The sequence below is a fragment of the Homo sapiens genome, chromosome 5 (assembly GCF_000001405.40).
Source record: "Homo sapiens chromosome 5, GRCh38.p14 Primary Assembly".
Lineage (NCBI taxonomy): Eukaryota > Metazoa > Chordata > Mammalia > Primates > Hominidae > Homo > Homo sapiens.
Window position 1 is genome coordinate 175953513 of NC_000005.10, and position 16724 is coordinate 175970236.

General features: G+C 44.5%; 1 protein-coding gene across 2 annotated transcripts, besides 1 other annotated feature; it reads right to left on the reverse strand.

Annotated features, from left to right (window-relative positions):
• Window positions 1-6018: 6018 nt before the first annotated feature.
• On the reverse strand, window positions 6019-14803 carry THOC3 (THO complex subunit 3). Of its 2 annotated transcripts, NM_032361.4 has the most exons (6): window positions 14430-14803; window positions 13599-13755; window positions 11439-11643; window positions 7761-7922; window positions 7539-7639; window positions 6019-6620 (listed from the first exon to the last, which is right to left on the reverse strand). In NM_032361.4, the coding sequence occupies exons 1-6, from the start codon at window positions 14694-14696 to the stop codon at window positions 6457-6459; spliced, it is 1056 nt and encodes a 351-aa protein (NP_115737.1). In that variant the 5' UTR covers window positions 14697-14803; the 3' UTR covers window positions 6019-6456. The 2 variants fall into 2 exon arrangements, with proteins under 2 accessions (NP_115737.1, NP_001363831.1); NM_001376902.1 differs by lacking the exon at window positions 6019-6620 and having other exon boundaries at window positions 6678-7639.
• Window positions 14020-14542: an enhancer, noted in NCBI's record as "OCT4-H3K27ac hESC enhancer chr5:175394535-175395057 (GRCh37/hg19 assembly coordinates)". NCBI's record gives its function as "activates a minimal SCP1, AML or CMV promoter by ChIP-STARR-seq in naive H9 embryonic stem cells {active_cell/tissue: H9 hESC(naive)}" and the evidence as "EXISTENCE:reporter gene assay evidence [ECO:0000049][PMID:30033119]".
• Window positions 14804-16724: the final 1921 nt, after the last annotated feature.

Here is a 16724-nt window from a genome sequence, read left to right on the forward strand (position 1 = left end):
AGCTGGGTGTATTGGCACACACCTGTGGTCCCAGCTACTCGGGAGGCTGAGGCAGGAGAATCGCTTGAACCCGGGAGGTGGAGGTTGCAGTGAGCCAAGATCACGCCACTGCACTCCAGCCTGGGTGAGACTCAGTCTCGAAAAAAGAAAAAAAAAAAAAAAGAAAAGAAACCACACCCAGAAAAGACATGCGTTAGACCATGACAGACAAGGTAGAAGAGTCCAAATATGTCAGTCAACACTCTCCTCAGTGCAAGACTGTTCAAGGAGTCCATCCTCACCCTGCCTGCCCCGCTGCCCTGCTCCTTGTCCACACCAGACCAGGATGGTGCATGTCTCCACGCCTTTGCAGACACCAGCCCCTCTGCCTCAAACCTTCTCCAAGAGCTGCCCAGCAGATTCCTACCCACCCTTCTAAGACAAACCCCAGTGCCTTCTTCAGGAAGCCTTCTCCCTCCACTCCCAGGCACTGTTGTGCCATTTCTGTGACAACACTCACCTTTCCACAGATCAGAGAAGCACCAGGGCCTAGGATGGTGATTCTCCATCCTGTTAGAATCCCCTGGGGAGCTTGCTTGGCATGGAGAATGAACATCAGGTGGTTCCAGTATATAGCCAGGATCAAGAAAAATTGACCTCCTGGAAGACCTGGGCTTTGAAGCTGCACACAAATGTATAGATCCTGCTTCTCTGCCTCACAGCTGAGTCACTGGAGCAAGGAAACACAACCTGCTTCCCACCCTGTGAACTGGGGATTACAGCACCTACCACGCTGAGATCCCACCTTCTTGCCTCCTCCCCTCCCACATCCCCACCAAGCAAGGACTAACCGCCTGCTTGTCATTCTGCCCAGATTGGTAACTCCTTTCTCGTGCATTCGTTTACTTAATGGCTATTTATTGAACACCTGCTGAGTACTACCAGGCACGGTGCTGGAGATGTGGGGTACGGCAATGAACATGTCAGGCAAAATTGCTAGAACATCTGGCAGTTTACCTGGGGAGACAGCCACAAAGGAAGCAAACAGGAGTAGCTTCCCATGATAAGCACGCTGAATAAAATTAAAGTCGGTGGGAAGAGATCCAGCAATGGGGCAAAGGGAGGCTACATTAACATTCAGGTTAGAGAGGACTGCTTCTAAATTAAGACCTAAATGCTGAGAAAGCAGCCTGGGAAGATCAGATCTGAGGAAGGTGGAGTGAGAGCCAATGGAGTGTTCTAGGCAAGGGAGAGGTGGGATCTGTCTTGCTTTTTAATGAAACCACTCACATGAATTGTCACCATCTGCACACCAGGCTGTGGGACCTTCACCTCTGTACCCTCAGTGTTCCAGTCAGGCCTGGCACAGGAGAGGGGTTGAGTGACTGGCTGAATAAATGAACCCTCTTCCCCTGAATGTGTTGTTTCCAGGTCTCCAAGCTAAAGCTTCTCTGTCCCCTGGCTTCTGCCCATCAGCAGTGTGACATCTTTCCCACAAAGAACCAGGTGAATCCCATGTTGATGGTCAAACTCCTAAGACCCTAAGCCTTTACATCTGTGTTACTGTTAAGCCACATCTAGACTAGGCTAAACTTAAACAGCTGGGATGAAAGGAACATGGGCTTCAAACTCATATACAGACCGTTTGACCCTGGACAAGTTCTCTAACCTCCTTGAACCAGTTTTTACCCGTACAGTAGGTCCAAGGTACAGTGGTCTGGTTTATCCCTCTCCCTTGTACAGTCCTAGCCAGATGAGTTCAATTTGTGGTCAACCCAACAGAGCGTGAGAGGGCCTCCTATGTGTTGAGCAAAGCACTTTGGCCGTCATTTTGGAGGAGACACAGCCCATCATAAACGTTCAATAAACAATCACAGGCCTGATCACCCTCAACCTGAACTCAACCGTGATACTTCAGGAGAGCAGCTATTCTCGAAGCTGACTGTAATCCCCCTTGGGGGTACAGTTGATGACCAGCTACAAATCAACCTGTGCCAGCCCAGATTTCCTTTGGTCCTCAAGGACATCCCGAGATGACTGGACAGATTCCTTGCTGCATCTGCACCATTCCCTGACCTGTATTCCAGTAACCTTATCAGGAAGGTAACAGGAAATGTAAATTTATCAACTTGTTCTTGGTAGATCTATGGTGCCCCAGTGGTCCCTGACAGCGGGCAAGTTGTACCCGGTGACTCTGTCACTGACGCTGCTGGTCAGGTGGGCATGTTTTCACAAGCAGGTCTGCTTCTTGTAAGTCGTAAAAGAGTGAAATGCTAGATGTCTTAAAATTGAACGACTTATGCCTCTTGCCGGATGTCTTAAAATTCAACAACTTATGGCTCTGCATCACTAACCATCCCAAACATGTAAACTGTTAGTAAATCTGTATAAATATTGGCTGAATAGTTTCCAGTTTAGTGTTCCTGAAAGTTAAATGGCCTTAGCTCTACAAATGGGTGATAAAAAATAATTGTCAAATATTCATTTTCTCCAAATCCCATCCTCTTTTCAAGGCTACAGTATCTTCTTTACAACGCTATATCCCTCCCTTTTAGACAATGTGATGAGCCCAGGGGACACTGAAAACCCCTTCCTAAGGTAGGGAGGTTATACAGCACACACGTATGGTATTAGCACCTAGGTAACAAGAGCTGCTGTTTCCTGCACGCCCACAGTGTGCCAGGCATTTACACACAGCAACTCATTGAACCCTCCTAAGTCACATTACCATCAGGCACATCTTAAAGACAAGCAAAATCATGGAGGTGAAGTAATTTGGCTAAAGTCTCCCTGTTAGCAATGGCAGGAAAGGATCTGAACCCAGGTATATCCGTCTCTTACCTACTCACCCAGCCACACTACCAGCCAGTCCAAACTGAAACCACTCAGAACCAGACACCCCTCCCTCCCTCTTCCCTCCAGCGACATCTCCTACTGCCCCTGACCATCTTCACGTCCAGGACACTGACGGCCACACCTTGGCTTGGCTCCAAGCTGCAGCAACGCCCCCCCACCTGTCCCCTGTCCTGCACTCACCTCTGCTCTACCCAAGGCCTGCACTGAGGCCACCCCCTCCCCATACGACCCTTTCCCAGCAGCCTCAGTTAACAGGAGCTTTGCCCCCCTCCTCCTTCACCCGCTGCTGTGCAGTCTGAGTTATGCTCCACTTGTTCACACACACACACACTTATCCATCATGAGCCCAAACTGACTGCAAACGGAAAGCAGATCTCATATTTCTCCTCTGAACCTCCCACTGCGCCCGGGGTGTGATGGATCCATATCCTCCCTTCACAGCACTCACTCTGGAATGATGAACGTTGCTCGCTTGGTGGCGGCACTGGAGCTGAGAAGGATGACAGACCAGTGACAGGTCTCCATGCTCTCGCTAGGAGCTCCTCCACCTCAAGCAAGGGGAAGGCTTATTAAGCACCTCCCTTGTGCCAGGTGCTGTGCTAGACACCGTACAGGCTGTATCTTGTTTAATCTTCCTAACGACCCAAGAAGGGGATTCATTGTCTCCACTTAATGGATGAGCAAAGTGGGTTCAGATAAACCACTGCTGGAGCCAGCTTCAAATCTGATTCTGCCCAAGTTATGAAGCCAGTGTTATCTCCACCGCACCACAGCGTCAGAGAGAGAAAAGAACGCAACGCCTCACCTACATCTGGGTATCTCTGAGTCCGCAACACACTCTGTTCAACCTCTACTCTCTTCCTGAAGAGAGGAATTACCTTTTACATCTGTCTATGGGCTTTTTTCCTTCCAAAGCAGGAAGACATTTCATGGTCCTTTGTGTAACTAAAACCCTTAGGGAGCAGAATACATCTTTCAAACAGGAAAGGGCTCAAGGACATTTCTACCCCATTCCTGGCCACTCTCAACTGAGCCAACCCACACATCACATCGCACCCCAACCAGATTCTCTCTGTCTTCCCTCCCCCAGACCCTACACCCCCCGCCCCTGCAAGACCTCCTAGGAGCCTGCTCTGGGCTTAGCCCCTTCCTTGGATCCACCTGCCTCTGGTCAGGACTCCCTGCACCAGCCTCCCATCCCCACACAGGACCCTCTCCCAGGACTCCAGCTGCTCAGCCTCCCACCCACACAGGTTAAGGTGTGGGGAACAACATGGCACATACACTTCACAAGCTTCCCATGTGGCATGGCTCATCCTACTCTGGATCTCACGCCATCCAAATACCAGGATCTCAGCAAAAGAGATGATACTACAAACTTCACTACCTATCAGTCTGACTTGTCATTCCAGCCAACACAACAGTGGGTCATTGGTATGTGGATACTGCAGTCTGTTTGGGCACATGATGAGTAAGTGTGTGTGTGAACAAGTGCAGCAAATCCTAGACTCTCCCTGCCAACTAAAATCTAGCTCGTAGCTGACCTCCCCACTCACTCCTGACTTGCTGATGTGTGTAGTAGCAACTGCAGAAAACGCCTCGACAGACCAAATAATAAATGGCCAGCTGTGACTCTGAATGGCATCCTTCCAGCTCTGCAGAATTAGAAAATGCACTCAAACCAAAGGGGCCCCGGGTCTGAGACATGTCATTTCCCCAGGATGGACCCACCTTGAACTCCTCCAGTACTTCAAAGCCAAGGCACAGAGATGGTGTCATCAAGACCTTGAGAGTCTGCAAAAACTCACACACACTGGGACTCCTTGCTCATGGATGTGTGTTCTCCTGTTGCTACAAGTGTCCCACCAGTTAAATGCAAAGTTTCCTCTTGTTTAAGTGACAGGTCGTGTGGATCACTAATTTACATAAACCCAGAGGAGAAAAAAATCCACAAGGATGGAAGAGGGAATCAATCAAATATTAAGATGTAGCCCAAACCCTCAGCATCTGGTACCAGTTCTAGAGGGAATATATAAACATGGCAGAGACCACAGGAATGACAGATGGTTGCAAAAACAAGAAATAATGCATCAAATTTACTCACGGTGACACGAACAACACTCAACTTCTGCCGCTGAGGTGGCAAGTTGGTTTGCAACTGAAAAGACCCTTCATCAGGGAAGGTGAGAAACGCTACTGCAAACACTACTGTGCACACTACTGCACCTGCTCAACACATCACTCACTACTATGAGCCAACAGTTGACTTCTCATGGCCATGGTTTATTCATCTGTGAAGCGGGAATGGCAATACTTGCAGAAACAGAGTAGCCCATTACAAGCAAAGGCACATGGGCCTTTAAACAAACCTAGATCTGAATACAGTCACTTGATGAGTAACACTGAGTTACTTAAACTCCCTGAGGTAGTAAAATGGTGATAACACCCACCTCAGAAGGCTGCTGCAAACACTGAGTAACAGCTGATAAAAGTGTTCCTTATAGTAGCAGGCATGTAGTGAATGCCCAGTAACTACAAATGTCTATTAAGACTTGTTGAGTGTTTATAATACTCCCCAACATGGTGCTATGCACCTTGCCTAACTTATCTTGCCATACTTGGTTTGTCTACCCTTCATGTATGAAGATAAACATGTTTTTATACATAAACATGGACACGAGAAAACTTCTGGAAGGATATACATCAAAATTCTAATAGCAGTTACCTCTTGGTGCTAGGAATGTAATTTTTCTTTTTGCTTATCTTTTTCCAAAATTTTCTACCAACACTATTTCTATATGCCTCAATATTTGCTTTAACACCAAACAAAATTACAATATAATGAAAAACCACTGCTCTTAGGTAACAACCCTCCAAACATAAGCCCTTTTTTTTAGAGGGAAGAACTAATAAAGCTTTGCTTTCCATGAGGAACCAATAAGTGTTTTTCTTTTCAATAAGAAAGCTAAATGACTTACTCCCCTCTTCACTTTGCCACCAGGAAGCTCAGAGCCAAAATTTTAGTTTGGTCATTCAATTAGCTTTGTCCCTATATTTCAGAGGCTTCTTGGTTGGGACATTAAATGACAGAATTATAACATTTAAATTCTCTTTCTGAAATTAAAAAAAAAAAAAATACAAAACTGCAACTCAAGGACATAATAATTTTAAAAGTCTTAGAAGTTCCATAATAACAAAAGTCAGTTTATTAAATGCTCAATTCTCAAAATTATATATATATATTTTTAATTATTTAAAAAAACTTCCATGCCCTTCCATTCCCCTCCCTCCAAACTAGGTATTGTCCAAGTTGTATCAAATGCCACAAAGTCTACCATGCACCCAGAAGCAGAGAAGACAGGAGGTCCAGAGGACAAGGTATGGTGGGGTCACTACTCGCACTGCAGAGTCCACGCGAGTTAACTCATGCTGGGGGCAAAGAATGGAAAGAGCTAATACACAGACAAAGCAAAAGAATGAAATGCGCAGCCTGACCAGAGACGTTTACAATTTATACCAACTTACAAATATTTAGGGTGCCCACCAACTCCGAGAGAACAGACCAAACTAACCACATGAAGGAAGACCTCTGCCGGGGCCTCCTCTCCCTACAACCTCCTCTCAAGAATCATTAGGAAGCCCAAACAGCTTCACAGTTCCGGCTTCCCGGCTGCTGTCATATTTGCCGTCTTTGTCATCACAGGCAAATGCCAGCAGAGGCCTTTTGGGGTGCCACGCCACTGTGAAGGTCGGAGACTCACACTGTACCTCCCATAGTTTGTCCCCTACAGAAAACAATAGAGAGAAACCAATCAATACGTTCAAAACGAAGGACACATTCATTAAGTACTTACCAGTATTAACTGGTTTAATCCACCTACTAATCCCATGAGATAGATACAACTATTACCTCATTTTACAGAGAACCCCCAGGCACAGAGAGCCCACAAGCCAGTGGAGGACAGAGCCGGTTCTGAGCACAGGTGGGTTAACTCAAGAGCAGGTCACTGAGCAGGAAAGTGTCTCCGCGTCACAGGGACATGCAGTTACATGAAGGATCTGCATGGCTGGATGCTGGACAATGTTCACCACAACGTGACTAACAGGGGCATGCATTCTTTACATAGTGGAATTTCAAGTTCTTTACTTTCCTCTTCGAAGTTTTCTATACAGTTTTAATCTTTTTACGAAGAGTGTCAAAGATTTCCAAAAACAATAAAGCAACATTAAAAAACAAATCTGAGGAAATTCTTTTGCAAAATGAATACTCTCCTCCCATTTTTCTATTTCCAGCTTCTGTTGTTTTTAAAGCAAAAACTTTATAATTCCTCAAATTTTAAATAATATTTTTTCAAGTTCATATACAGGCAAAAGATAAAGAGAAATATATCACAACATTTAAAACAGGTGGTATTTAGAGAGTGGGACCCCAAGTGGTGCTTTTTTCTTCCTTCTACTCTGTAGTTTAAAGTTTAAATAAATCAAAATATTTTTCTAAATCACTTTCCTCAGACCTGCCTGTTTATTTCTTAACTCTTTGCTTCCTCACCACCTGGCAGTGACAGTCAAAACAGAAACATACTTGTCTAAAGGAGACAAATTCATTCATGATCATGCTGGTGAAGTAGTCACATGCAGAGATGAGATCACAAGAGAAGTCCTGACTGCCAAAGGTGAAAGACGGTAGATTCTCATGAAGTTACCTGTCTCCACTTCAGCAATGTCAATAAAATGATCTTCCGATGCTGACGCCAGCATTTTCCCATCATGGCTGAAACTGAGGGTTCTTACAGGCCAATCCAGCCTATGATACAGAGTGGACAGAAGAGACAAGAGAATTACCAAGTAAGAGGAGGGAACAATGTCACTCAAGATGAAATAAAATTAATGTACCCAACAAGGGAAGTGCTGATAGAGTCACTTACCTGGAAAAGCACCGAACACACACTAACTCATCCACATCCCAGAGGCTGACCAAAGCATCTGCACTTCCTGTGGCAAAGTACTTCCCCATGGGGTCAAACTTGATACAGATGCAGTTGGAAGGATGGGCGTTGATGGACTGCACAGGCTTCAGTTCTGGGTAGCTGAGAAAAAAGACAGCGATCAAACTGCAGAAGAGGACTGTGGTGCTGAAACAATAATAGGAGATGATGAAGAAGAAAAGCAAAGATAATAGACCACCACCAAGAACTGTCATTCAAGATAACATTCCTGAAATAAAAAAAGATTTTGAACTACATTATTTAAAAAGCACAACACATACCTGAGACTACAGAACCAAAGTTACCAACATCGAGACAGAGACTAGCAAAACTAGTGGACTTTAAAGAAAAAGAAAATTAGATTATTGGGCTTTCTGACAGCAACACTTAATGCCAAAAGAAAATGGAGTACCATATTTAAGAAAGATACACAAGCGAGAAAACGAGCCAAGGATTTTTACATCCAGCAAAACTGAATTTCAAATATAATGATACAAACAATAAGCACAATAACGTTTTATAAAATCTGTAAGTTTTAGAAGTACGTAAATAAGTTGTAATAAAAACTCCAGGAATAATGTTCCCATGAACGCTTCCCGAGGAATCTTAACTAGAGAATGAGCTTCAATTAAAAAAATGACTAGAGACTTATAAGGACTGGTGCTCAACACTGAATATACAGTTTCTTGCAAAAACTATACATGGTTTAAAGAGAGGGTATAATATGTAACATCTGCACATGCTTACAACATATAGTACTATTTTTTTAATGGGGGAAGAATGGAAAGAGTATATGCAAAAACCAAAAACATTTTTTGTTTCAAGTCATCACATTGGTGGTAGCAGCAGTAATATTGTTGTTCTGAGACATCTATATGTTTACCATGGGAGATAGGTAATAAGTAACCATCGGATATTCTAATTCTATGATCCCCTGTGCCCTTGAGAACCAGAATACTCAATTTGGGAGGAAAGAAATATATTTGTAATATAGAAGAGGTTTAGTAAAATCCCTGGAGTCCTCAATTTTGATTGCAAGTTATCAACATGAATTCATAAGGTATTTTATCTTTAAATATATATATATATACACACACACACACACACACACGTAATTCCTAGGCCAACCCAGCAGTAATGAACATTCCTAACTTCAGTATCATTTCTCAGTAAAAGAATGTAAGGCTCCTTTTTTTTTTTTTTTTTTGAGGTGGAATCTCACTCAGTCGTCCAGAATGCTGGAGTGCAGTGGTGCAATCTAAACTTACTACAACCTCCGCCTCCCGGGTTCAAGCGATTCTCCTGCCTCAGTCTGCCAAGCAGCTGGGAATATACACGTGCGTCACCACGCCCAGATAATTTTTGTATTTTGAGTAGAGACAGGGTTTCTCTATGATTGCCAGGTCTCAAGTGATCCACTCGCCTCGGCCTCCCAAAGTGCCAAAGTGCTGGGATTACAGGCGTGAGCCACCGCACCCAGCCAGAATGTTAAGGCTTCTTGGAGAATGTTCTGATTAAAGGTCTGGGGCAAGAAATGCACAAGATGAACTTGGAACATCTTATCAAACCAGAGAGCAAAAAAACAGAAGACGATGGGATTATGTCAAAAAAGGTCTCAGGAACCAACTTGAAGAGGTTCTTATTGGCCAAAGATGGGATAATTTGAGCTTCAACAGGCGTAACAATTACAAGAGATGGAAACACACCAACTATGTTTAAAAACATCAGCCCGTAATGATTCTTTAAAAAAAAAACACCTAACTGCTCATCTTTGGAGGTAGCAGGAAACAAAATCATTATCTGACAAACAGAATCAAAATTTTATCCTGCCTTCCCTACATGAACTACACTACTGGGTAACCAAATCGCAGATGAGAAGCAGCATCTCTTTACACAACAGTCCAACACATAAACAGCATATGGAATCAGCAAAAGCCAAACTGGGAGAATCTCCACAGGTTAACAGTCTGGTTTTTCAACAGCTACGTTTTCGGAAGTTTCTTTTGAGTAATTTAAGAGATACAAAAGACATATCAATTTTTTTTTTTTTTAATGAGCAAAACTAGGGTATCTAGGGGCTGCACATGTGGTAGATAAACTATGAAGAAACACTATAAAAGTCAGGATAGTGTTTGCTTTTGTGGAAGGAAGTTGTAATTAGGACAAATCACCTGGATGGACTTCTGGGATGGCTGGAAAGAACTACTTCTCAACTTGGGCGGGGTTGCACAAGAGTTAAGCCTATAAGAGTTCATTAAGCTATACATTTATTTTATGTGGTTTTCAATATCTGTGTTTTATAATAAAAAGATTTTTCTTAAAAAGTTATAGAATCCCCATTGCCTACAAAATAAAACCCAAGATACTAAGCATAAAATAAAGGCCTTTTATAATCTGGTCCCAAATTAGACTTCATCTTCCCATTATCATGCCCTCTCTTATTTCCCTTATCTGCCACCACTCCCCCAACAACCCTGACCTAACCACTCTCCAAGTAAGTCATGCTCACTCACACCTGCTTTGTCAGTTATGTGGTTCCCTTTTGCTTATTCTTAAAATTCTGCTCATCTTTCAAGATCAAGCTCACAAGCTCCCTCCTTCAACCCCCCATATAGTATGTCTGTTCTTTCCGTGGAATTTCACAGCAAACTCCTGGCCTCCCACTCACAGAACCTATCTCACTTGGTCTTGCATTGTTCACCTGGGATAGTGGAAGGCTAGAATTGAACAGACCTGAATTTCAGCTCCACAGTTTCATTCATTTACAGAACAAATATTTACTAAGATCCTACTACGTGGAGCAGGTACAGGACTAGACATTAGGGACTCAACACTAAACAAGGCAAACACCATCCCTACCATCAAGGAATTCACAGTCTAACAGGAGACACAGGCAAATAAACATGCAATTACAATATAGAAAGAAAAGTGCTTCCTACAGAAAGTATATAAAATACGCCTCTAACCTACCTCTAACCTTGGGGTAGCGGGGGAGCTTCCCTGAAGGCAAAGTGATATTTCAGTTGAAACTTTAAGAGTACGAATTAGCCAGAGGTCGGGCTAATCACCTGAGGTCGGGAGTTGGAGACCAGCCTGACCAACATGGAGAAACCCTAAACTACAAAAAATACAAAATTAGCCAGGTGTGGTGGCACATGCCTCTAATCCCAGCTACTTGGGAGGCTGAGGCAGGAGAATCGCTTAACCTCGGAGGCAGAGGTTGCGGTGAGCCAAGATCACACCATTGCACTGCAGCCTGGGCAACAAGAGCAAAACTCTGTCTCGAAAAACAAAAAAAAAGGGAGTACGAATTAGCCATAATTCAAGGTGCATCCAGTTCTAGCACACACTAGCTGACTACTGATGTAACCTCTCACCCTCAGATCCTCATCTGTCAAATGAGAAGCAAATCATCAACCCCTAGAATTTCTGTAAGGACTCAGTAAAATATAAAGTATATAAAATATACAGCTCAAATGTACTTAAGACAGGTTAGGATTCTCTCTTACTATTTGTGTTTTAAGCTCCTTCAGGATAGGCTCACATCTAATTCATCTCCATATCTGACACAGCACCCAGCACAAAGACATGACAGTCCCCTAAGCTAGACCCCCTCACCTGAGGATGTTGATACAACCATTGCCATTTGTCAGGAAGAACATATTATTGTCATTGTTCCAGGAGATTTCGTTGACCTCGAACTTGAACTGCTCTTCTGCTTTGGAACGGTGTGTCTTGGCATCAATAAAGGTCACCACATCATCCTTGTTGCCTACAGCAATGGTCTGCCCATCAGGACTCCAGCAGATATTAATGTTCTCCCCTGGGAACCCAGACATAATCAGCAAGATAATCTGTTTGCTCATAATCTTCCACAAGTTTATTGCACTATCCTAGAAAGAAGACCAGAGCTTTCTTCCGGGCTTACTCATTAAAGTCCTAGACAATGGAAGGGAGCTACCACTTATGATTCAACAATAAGTCCAGAACTTTCATCTACACATTTCCCCATTTGGTCTTCACAATACTCCTCTAACATACACTTTATTATCTCCATTTATAAAATCTATAAGATTTTATAGATGAAGGAAATAGGAGATAAGACGACAAGCCAAAGTGTCAAAGCTATGAAGTCACAGAGCTATGAAGTGGCGCAATCTCGGCTCACTGCAAGCTCCACCTCCTGGGTTCACGCCATTCTCTCGCCTCAGCCTCCCGAGTAGCTGGGACTACAGGCGCCTGCCACCACACCAGGCTAATTTTTTTGTATTTTTAGTAGAGACGGGGTTTCACCGTGTTAGCCAGGATGGTCTCGATCTCCTGACCTCGTGATCCGCCCGCCTCGGCCTCCCAAAGTGCTGGGATTACAGGCGTGAGCCACCGTGCCCGGCCAAGCCAAGATTTTAAACCCAGATTTGACCCCAAAGCCCCCTTTTCTCTTACACCAGCATTTCTCAACTCCAGCCATTCGCATGCCAACATCACAATTTTTGTCCTATCCATTAAACACTATACTTTTCTTTATTCAAGATTTTTCTTAAAATTGATTCAAAAAAGTTTACTTAAATAAATTTAGCAGCCAGCTGTGGAGGCTCAAGCCTGTAATTCCAGCACTTTGGGAGGCCAAGGTAGGCAGATCACTTGAGTCCAGGAGTTCAAGATCAGCCTGGGCAATATGGCAAAACCCGTCTCTACAAAAAATTAGCCAGGCATGGTGGCATGTGCCTGTAGTCCCAGCTACTCAGGAGGTTGAGGTGAGAGGATGGCTTGAGCCCAGGTGGAGGCTGCAGGGAGCCAATATTGTGCCACTGTACTCCATCCTGGGTAACAGGGCAAGACCCTGTCTCAAAAATAAAAATAAAATAAAATAAATAAAAATAAAATAAATTTAGCTTCAACTGAATAATAAATTCTATGTGCTAGTTCTTCTAGTAGACATTAAGATATTTGCAAAACTGGTTTTTAATGTTCACCCACGCATCACCTGAATCACTCATGGATCAGCAGCTGTATACTTGGGGAAAAACCACACCATTCCGCCTCCAGAGATAAGTCTTGTCAACAAAGTCCAGTGGCCCACACTGAACACATCAATTAAAAATCTCACCAACTTTTTCCATTCTAAAACGCATATTTTCTCACATTTTAGTATCTACACTGTATCTTAAAATGTATCAGAAAGCATTTCAAAATTTTGGGTGTATCACAGTTATTTACCAACTTTCTTTCCTAATGGAACATCTTACGATCAATGAAAACTCAGAGTCCCATACAATATCGGCCTCAATACTTACAACAGAGCCTATAAATGTACTGCACAACTTTCTCCCAGATCACCAAGACCATCCAAGTTTCAACCATTCTAACTCATCAGAATTTTCCAAATTCTCCATGCCTTTGCACATGCCGTTCCCTCCTGGAAATGTCCCATTCCCCACCCACAGCACCCTGACCACTCAACTCCTATGGCTACCCTAAAAGTTTGCTCAAATTTGGTGAGGCCTTCCCTGGCTCCCCTAGGCAGACTTTTGTTTTCATTTCTATTCTGGGTATCCACCTTGCAGACCTCTCCATTATAAAATGAACCATATCTTGCTATGTTATTTGTATATATATGTCTTCTCCCCGCAGGGGAGGTCCTTGGAGCTGGAAACTCTTATTCAGCTCAGGATGTCTCATACACAGCTGAGTGCCAAGCACAGAAAAGATATTCGGAAAATGGTTGTTGAATGAATCCAAACAGCTTATCTTCCTATTGCCCTCTCTCTGAATAGTCACCTTTAGTGTTCACAGTGGCAATGCATTTTGTAGTCCTCACATCCCAGATGCGAATGGTTTTATCTCCGGACGCCGTAACAAATAGGTCAGGATTACTTGGATGCCAACAAAGCTGGTCCACACTATCCCCATGTCCCCGATAATTGTTTTCTTTGACCTGAAAGAACAGAATCCAGATGTGACTTCACATAGATGTAACTGCCTCCGCATGTAACTTTATAAGCTTATTCAAACCAAAGTATGCTGGGACCAGTAAAGATCTGGGTAATTCAGAATCCAGTTCCTCCAAGCCCTTTCTCCCTTCTCTTCTCCGCAGGCCTTCTGAACTGTTTTTCTCAGCTTCCACACCTATGCCCTTACTTTTGTGCCCTCCCTGGCCTTCTCCTCCTTCCTGGTTTTCCACCCTTACTCTACCACCAACGTACCACCAACGTACCACCACCAACGTACCACCACCACCACCACCACCACCACCACAGCCCCTAGCCACTTCTTATCAGCACAGGATTCGACTCCAAACCAGTAAGGCTCCCATCGCAGCCCTGTCCCATCCACCCTCTCCTCACCTTCACCCGCCATCGCCAACCTCCTTACTTCCACACTCTTCACACGCCCCCAGTCTTCCTCTCCTCACCCCTCACGACCCCGTCACCCCCACACTCCACCTTCTCCCTACTCCCTCCTCATCTCCACACTCCCCCTTTCCCCTTCCCTCAAACCCACTCTCCTTTCACCCCCGCGGCTCCGTTCGCCCCCATTCGCTCTCCCACTACCGCACCTCACTTCACCACGGCCCCTCTCCCTAGCCTGAGCCGAGCCCCGGCAGCTCACCAACCGGTCCTTCTCCAGCAAGAAGACGCTGGCCGTCTTGTCGAAGGACCCCGAGGCTAGGCGACGCCCGTCGCAACTCCAGGCCACCGAGTGCACCTTGGCGCTGTGCGCCAGGAACTCGCGCGTCTTGCTGTGGCCCCGGAACAGCTCCTGCATCCCAAGCACGTAGCGCGACGGGCCGCTGCTCACTGAGCACCACGGGGCCATCGAGCCGGGGCCGCTCTGGCCCAACGCCGAGGGCCCCATGGCTGCAGCGGGGACCGCCATGCCGAGCTCCCCAGCTTCCAACTCACAACACTGCAGCAGCCTCCACGGCGCAGTCAGTCCTGGCGCCGCTGCCGCACGCATGCGCCCGGAAGAGCGACGGCCCCTCTGCGCAGGCGCGCTGTACCCCGCCCCGGAAGGGACTACAAATCCCGGTATGCAGCGCGTGCCCGCGTCTGCTTACTTAGTAATATTTGGTTCTTTTAACTCCAAATATGCTTCACACTTAACGATTCCGAGTTTTTTTAGTGTTCTTATTTCTCCCTTACCTATTCTTTGGTAGATATATGTGTATTCCTGTTTAATCGAATAAAAGAACCAACACTAACCTTCTAAACAGTTAACTCATCACCTTTCTTCTGGGGTTGTTCCGTAATCCCTAGTCCCCTCCCTTAAGAGCAGAAAGCTCTGGTCTTTTTGCTGGAGAAGGACCAGCTGGTGAGCTTGTCCCATGAAAAGGGCTAGCGGGTGTGGAGTGAGGGAAGAGGTGTTAAGAAGGGGTCTGGAGGTTTTGTTTTTTTTTTTTAAATAAAAATGGATTTTTTGTTTTTAAAAGGTAATGGCAGAGGCGTGTGAACCAGAGCAACTCTATCTTAAATAGGAACTGGGTAAAATGAGGCTTAAACCTACTGGGCTGCATTCCCAGACTGTTAAGGCATTCTAATCACAGGATGAAATAGGAGGTCAGCACAAAATACAGGTCATAAAGACCTTGATGATAAAACAGGTTGCAGTAAAGGAACCGGCCAAAACCCACCAAAACCAAAATGGCGATGAGAGTGACCTCTGGTCATCCTCACCTCTACACTCCCACCAGTGCCAGGACAGTTTGTAAATGCCATGGCAATGTCAGGAAGTTACCCTATACGGTCTAAAAAAGGGAGGCATGAATAATCCACCACTTGTTTAGCATATCATCAGGAAAAACCATAAAAATGCGCAACCAGCGGCCCTCGGGGCTGCTCTGTCTATGGAGTGGCCATTCTTTTATTCCCTTTACTTTCTTAATAAACTTGCTTTCACTTTGCACTGCGGACTTGCCCTGAATTCTTTCCTGAGTGAGATCCAAGAACCCACTCCTGGGGTCTGGATTGGGACCCTTTTCCTGTAACAGTATTACATGCACATGATTGTAAATATAAAAATAAAAGATATAGAGTGAAAAGTAAATGTCCACCTGCGTATCCACCCCACCTCTCATATCTCCCTTAAACCAGTGGCTTCTTGCTGGAGAAAAAAGGGGTGGTGAGCTGCCAGCGCCAGTCAAGGCCCTGGAGAAGAGCTGAGGGGGGAAGGTTTTGGTGGTGAGTAGTAGTGGTAAATGTGTTTAAAAACCCAATTTTTAAAAGGCAACACGTGCACTTGGTAACAAATGTAAAATGTATAAAAGGGAATAGATTGAAAAGCTTCCCTCCATCCTGTGTCCCCAAACTTCTCTTCTGAAAAAGTTAAATTTCTTGTGTGGCCTTCCAGAGACAGTGTAAGTAAGCACCTGGGCAAGGTAGATAGGTGTGTGCATAACCTCTCCCAACACACTGCCAAAAAGGTAGCATTCCTTACACAACTTGCTTCCTATGGTAAATATGTATAGGAAATCATTTCTTGTCAGAAAATGCAGACGTCTCATTCTTCTCAATGGTGGCAGTCTTTATATGAATATATAATATTCAACTGATCCCTTCATGAATTTGCTTTTAGAACAATATTAGAACAATATTGCAGTGAATATCCCTATACAACCTTCATTGTGCACATCTGCACTTTTTTATTTGGATATATATTGCCAAAACACCTATGAAGAGGTTTAATAATTTATACTTCCACCAGCAACATAAGAAAGTGTCAGAAGGTCCTAGGTACTAAATGAGTACACATATAAAGCATATGGCTCTCAGAAGGACCGTAGGAAATAAGGTCCCTATCTTTCCCCAATCTTTTCCCTACCCCATTGCAACCAGAAATTCTTGGAAACTACAAAGCTTTTCAGACTCCAAGAATACCACTGAAGTCTCTAAAATCTTGGAGTAGGAA

Bases quoted from the DNA above. Each gene is read 5' to 3' on its own strand.
- THOC3 (NM_032361.4), bottom strand. From the start codon at position 14,696: ATGGCGGTCCCCGCTGCAGCCATGGGGCCCTCGGCGTTGGGCCAGAGC. The intron at 11,644-13,598 runs GTGACTATTCAG...CTGGGTTCCCAG, and splicing joins TGCCACTGTGAACACTAAAG to GGGAGAACATTAATATCTGC. The intron at 6,621-7,538 runs GTAACTTCATGA...TGTTTTCTGTAG, and splicing joins CATTGCTGAAGTGGAGACAG to GGGACAAACTATGGGAGGTA.